We start from the raw sequence: 6,271 nt of genomic DNA, 5'->3' as shown, positions 1-6,271 counted from the left end.
TGATGAATTTCCAGGCTGGAAAGATGGCATGATTCTGGGATTCCATGCTCAGTGGTCATCTCAGGGTCCGGCAAGGGAAGATATTCCTGGTGAGAATTAATTGCTTTACCGCTGTCCCTTATATGTAGAGGACGTGTCCCTGTAGCTCCTGTCTGGGGATACTTGCCATATTCATGGAGGCTGGATACTTACTTTGGTTCCTTGGGCAATTTGCAACGTAGACGCTATTTAAGGGACCTTTTGGTATGAGTCAAAAGTGGCATTAAGGGCAAAGTGTGCTGCCCAGATTGAGCCTGTAGGTGGCAGCAAAAACTCAGACTTGGAAAGCCAGCCCACAAAGCTCCAGGTGTATCCTAGAGGGTTCTGCTTTTAGTGGTTTATGGAAAAGACCTGGAAGCTGTAAGCAGCTGTAATTTTAGTGGCGTCAACACACCATTCACAGCTGTAGTCTTTTCTCCAGGGTGAGTAGAGATGTCTCAGATCATTAGAACAAACTTCAGAAAAATCACGTATGCACGTTTCTATACGTTAAAAAAAAAATCAGAACCGTCTTCTCGGCAATAGGAAATTAGGCTGTTAGTGAGAGACCGCCCCCAGATGATGACCAATGAAACCATCATTAATGCCATTTATGCTGGAACAAAGGGGTGGACTGGGTTGTTAAGGAAACGTGGCACACCCTCCTCGGGGTAGAAAGAAAATAGGGAGGTATCAAATGATTTCTCATCACCTGCAAACTCATGTGGCTCTCCTACAGCTGATAGCAAAGTCACTGCTTTTGAATTTCATTTTATTTAAATTATTTGGTTTGCCTGTGCTTGGTATCTCTGCCTATCCCTTAAGTTTCAAATTTTCTGTCAAAAGTTTTACATGTGTGTCTTGTAGGAAGCATATAGTTTGGTATTATGTCTTAATCCGTTCTGAGAGTCCTTATCATCTAATACTGGTGTTCAATCCGTTCACATTTCTCCCTGTATCTCATGGATTTGATTTCACATCTTCTTATTACTTTGCATTTTACTATTTATTATACCTATTGTTGTTCATGCTTTTCTCCTTTTCACATTTCTTCCAGATTAATCAGGACATTAATTTAAAAAACTCTCTGTGTCCTTCTAAAATATAAAGCAATACAAATTTTACTATATATCTTCTGTATTTTAACTCATAGGGTTAGAAGTCTCTGTGAATATGTGACTATACTAAAATAGTCACTCTGACTCTCTAAAGATTCATCATCATTCCTATTCCCCACCAACTACGACATTGAGAAGACATTCACTTTCCCCATGGGTCTCCCATTCCTAACCTCTATATTTTATTAATGAAGTTAAGAATTGAGTTATGGATAATTTTTATAACTTTTTTCTTTTTTGAGATGGAGTCTTGCTCTGTCGCCCAGGTTGGAGTGCAGTGGCACGATCTCGGCTCACTGCAGCTTCTACCTCCCGGGTTCAAGTAATTCTCCTGCCTCAGCCTCCAGAGTAGCTGGGATTACAGGCGCACACCACCACACCTGGCTAACTTTTGTATTTTTAGTAGAGATGGGGTTTCACCATGCTGGCCAGGCTGGTCTTGAACTCCTGGCCTCAAGAGATCCACCCACCTCAGCCTCCCAAAGTGTTAGGATTACTGGTGTGAGCCACCACACCTGGTCAATTTTTATAACATTTTTGAAAACACTTTATAATTAGTAAAATACAATAGTACAAAGAATACTGGTAATGCCCTTTACTCAGATTTACCTGTTATTAATATGTTATAACATTTGCTCTATTCATTTGCTTTCTCTCTGTACACACACACACGCACACACACATACACATGTGTGTGATTATTTTCAGAACCATTTGAGGGTAAGGTACGTATATCATGGCTGTTATCCCTAAACACTTCAGTGTGTACTTCCTAAGAAGAGTGACATTCTCTTACATATCCATAGTATAGTTACAGATTTCATAAATTTCTATTAATGTCATATTTTTATCTAATCTATGGCCCATATTCATGTCTTGTTGGTTGACCTAATAATGTCTTTCACAGGACTCCTCACTGCTCTCCAGGGAGGATCCAGGCCAGGGTTAAATATCACATTTAGTTGGCATGTCTCTTTAGCCTCCTTTGACCTGCAACTCCCCACAGCCTTTCTTAGTCTTTTATGACATCAATAGTTTTTAGGCATACATTCCCCTCTGACATTTTAAAAACAGAATGTTGTTTCGTTTGCATTTTTCTGATGATTCTATTGTGATTAGATTCAGGTTACACATTCTCATGAAGGGATTTTGTGTCTTCTTCAGGACATTCTATCTGGAGGCATGCAGCATCCACTGCCCTTCATGAACCATGTTAATTTTGATCCCCTACGCAGGTTGTGTCCCTGATAATTTTAATTGTTTCTGATATTTATCTGATGTGAATGTAGCCATTCTAGCTTTCTTTTAATTAGTATTTGCATAATGTATGCTTTCCATCCTTTCATTACATTTATCACATTTTAAAATATCAATGTCATTGCATTTAAAGTGGATTACTTACAGAAGGCATATAGTTGGGTCTTTTTGTAAAATGCATGTTTATAAATTTCTGTCTTTTAATTAGTTTGTTTAGATCACATCTTAGTCTGCTGGGTTTTTATAACAAAACACCATAAACTAGGTGGCTTATAAACAACATAAATTTATTCTTCAGAGTTCTAGTGGCTGGGAAGTCCAAGATCCAGGTGCTGGCAGATGCAAAGTCTGGTGAGAGCCCACTTTCTGGCTCACATGGTGGGAGGGGCAGGGCAGTTCTCTGGGACCTCTTTTATAAGGGTATTAATCCCATTCATGAGGGCTCTGGTCTTCATGACCTAATCACCTTCCAAAGGCCCCGTCTCCTAATATCATGACTTTGGTGATTGAGGCTCAACATATTAATTTTGGGGAGATGCAAACATTCAGATTATAACCAATTAGTATAATTTAATGTAATTATTTAAATGGTTAAACTTAGGTCTATCATTTTATTATTTGTTTCCTGTTTGCTTTATACGAAAAAAAGAAAAAACAAACCCTGGCAGGGGTGAAGGTTAATAAACACGTAAACCATACATGTGCAGGGGAATTGATCCATTAAGTAAATGCATGGCAGATGGTGGGAGCTAGTTTTCTCACTGTTGGAGTGAGATGTTACAGATAAGCAAGGGGAAAATGCTAGGATGATCCATATGGTAATGGATTAGAGATGCAGACATGACATTAGTATGAATTCATTTTGTTTAATACAAATACAGATGGTTGTAGATGGAAACATTGATAGATATATGTATATATAGGGGTTAGTATACACACATATGTTTCTTTGCTCTATCATCTGAGAAGGCCTGTAAGCAATAACCTGCCAGTGCAATGGGCATATGTTGCGTCCAGATCTTGATTTCGAATCCCATTCTCCAATAAAAGGAACTAGGGCTTCCTGAGAAATGGCTGATTCTAGGGCTTGAGCAGGAAATATACAAGATGAGCCTGGAGGCTGGGTGTGATGGCCCACGCCTGTAACCCCAGCACTTTGGGAGGCCGAGGTGTGTGCATCACCTGAGGTCAGGAGTTCAAGACCAGCCTGGACAACATGGTGAAAACCCATCGCTACTAAAAATACAAACAAACAAACAAACAAAAAAGCTGGGCATGGTGGTGGGCGCTTGTAATCTCAGCCACTTGGGAGGCTGAGGCAGGAGAATTGCTTGAACCTGGGAGGCGGAGGTCGCAGTGACCCGAGATCACGCCACTGCACTTCAGCCTGGGTGACAGAGTGAGAGTCCATCTAAAAAAAAAAAAAAGAAAAATAAAAAAACAAGATGAGAGTGGAGTATCTTGTAGCATCAGAAAGTGAGGAAATGCTCAAAGAACAGCAATAACAGTAACATTAATGAAGATATGTCAAAAGACTGCAGGAGCACTCTCAAAGGTCAACTTGAGCAACAGTTTTTCTTCTCATATTCATTTTTAAATTTTCATTCATTTTTATTGTAGTGCTTAAAAATATTACAAGATTAGAACAAATCTTTTTTCAAGTCAGTCTTGGAGTATACAAAAATATTAGTCATCTCTCTACCTTCTAATACCACATAGCGAAGAATGGATGTTAACAGCTGATGCATCTTTTTACATTTCTTTAAACTTTTATTTTAGATTCAAGGGTATATGTGCAGGTTTGTTACATAGGTAAACTCATGTCATGGGGGTTTGGGGTACAGATTATTTTGTCACCCAGGTACTAAGTATAGTACCCAATGGTTATTTTTCCTGATCCTTTCCCTCTTCCCACCCTTCACCACCAACATGCTTTCATGTCATGACCATAGCGAAAGGTGCACATAGAGAAAGTATCATTCCCTCCCAGGTTCCTCCTATCCATTTCCTGCTCTCCTCCACTCCTTGTAGGAAATCCACTTCTTTGATATCTGGTTTATCTTTCCTGCGTTTCTTTTTATAAAGATAAGTAGAGAAATGTATGTGTTCTTATTTTTCTTTCTTCTTACATGAAGGTAACATAAATATATGTTTGTTTGCAGTTTGATTATTTTTCACTTACAGTAATAATGTCACCAATTCCAGGTCATTAAAATTTTTTCCTTATAAGATATTTATTTTTCTGTTTCAAAAGCATTTATTATCACTCAGAGTTTACAATTATATTATTTGGGATATAACTGTAGGAAAGTGTCAGATAGGAAAATTGTTTCTTTTTTCTCTTTTTTTTTTTTTTTTTTTTTTTTTTGAGATAGGGTCTCGCTCTATTGCCAAAGCTGAAGTACAGTGGCATGACCCCGGCTCACTGCAACCTCCACCTCCCAAGCTCAAGCCTCATGCCTCAGCTTCCCAAGTAGCTGGAACTACAGGTGCACACCAACATGTTGGCTAATTTTTGTATTTTTTGTAGAGATGGGGTTTCACCATGTTGGCCAGGCTGGTCTCAAACTCCTGGCCATAAGTGATATGGCTGCCTCAGCCTCCCAAAAAGGAACAATTAACACTTGTGTGATGAGGTAGGACCCACAGGGAGAGTACAGACGCCTAGGTGTGCCACAGCAGAGACTTCACTCCAGAGTGTGATGGAACAGAGTGCGGGAGAGACTGCCAAAATTGGGAAGGAGAGAGTAGTGGAGAGTAGTCAACTTAAGAGGCTCAATGGCCTTCTTGAGAGGCACATGGCCAGCCCGGGAGACTTTGCCAGATGGTGAATGAAGACTCTGACCTCACTCTTCCCTTCCTTGAGACTCCTGATGGGGCTCCTCAGTGTCTGAACCCAGTGGTAGCCAGAGGACACAGGGCCTCATTGAAGAGTCCATGTCTGTCAGTCTCCCAGGCAGGGCGGGGAAGACAGAAGGTGACCTTCACACACTTTTGCAGTATCTAATGAAATTGTACTTTTTACAAGAATATATATTCCATTCCCAGTATTCTGTATTCTTATTTTGCTTCCCTGTCATTAAATCTTAGAATTGAATTAATCTTTACTTTCTTTTTGAGCATTTTGTGATTTTCTTTGTAGTGGTACAACAATGATCAACTTCTGAATTCTTGAAAGTCTAAAAATATCCTTTTTTTTTTTTTTTAAATGAGACAGAGTCTTGCTCTGTTGTCCAGGCTGGAATGCAGTGCCATGATCTCAGCTCACTGCAACCTCCAGCTCCTGGATTCAAGCGATCCTCCCACCTCAGCCTCCAAAGTAGTTGAGATTAGAAGCATGTGCCACCATCCCTGGCTAATTTTTGTATTTTTAGTACAGATGGGTTTTCGCCATGTAGCCCAGGCTGGTCTTGAACTCCTGACCTCAGGTGATCCACCTGCCTTGGCCTTCGGAAGTGTTGGGATTACAGGTGTCAGCCACTGCACCTGGCCTAAAAATAGTCTTCTTTTGCACTCATATTTGAACATGATGCATCTGTACAGGATTCTCAGCCCATGGGAAATAAGACTATCAATAGAAACTTCCATGTTTCTTTCTATCGAAAGTCTGAAATGAGAAGTTTGGTGCTAGCCTGGATTCTCTTCCTATTCAAGAACTCGTTTTCTCTGTCTAACATGTTGTACAGCTTGAGGGTCCCTAATCCGAGTATGCAAAATCTGAAAGGCTCCAATATCTGAAACTTTTTGAGTACCAACATGACTCCACAAGTAAAAAATTCCACACCTGACCTCATGTACAGAAAGTTTGTTTCAAGTACAAAGTTGTTAAAATAATGTATAAAATTACCTTCAGGCTATGTGTATCAGGTGTATATGAA

The 6,271-nt window shown here is 39.9% G+C and overlaps 1 annotated feature.

Moving 5' to 3' along the window:
• Nucleotides 389-890: an enhancer, noted in NCBI's record as "NANOG hESC enhancer chr8:8594010-8594511 (GRCh37/hg19 assembly coordinates)". NCBI's record gives its function as "activates a minimal SCP1, AML or CMV promoter by ChIP-STARR-seq in primed H9 embryonic stem cells {active_cell/tissue: H9 hESC(primed)}" and the evidence as "EXISTENCE:reporter gene assay evidence [ECO:0000049][PMID:30033119]".

This window comes from Homo sapiens, chromosome 8, assembly GCF_000001405.40.
Source record: "Homo sapiens chromosome 8, GRCh38.p14 Primary Assembly".
NCBI lineage: Eukaryota > Metazoa > Chordata > Mammalia > Primates > Hominidae > Homo > Homo sapiens.
The sequence above is the reverse complement of the archived record's forward strand: the minus strand, read 5'-3'. Positions and strand labels throughout refer to the sequence as shown.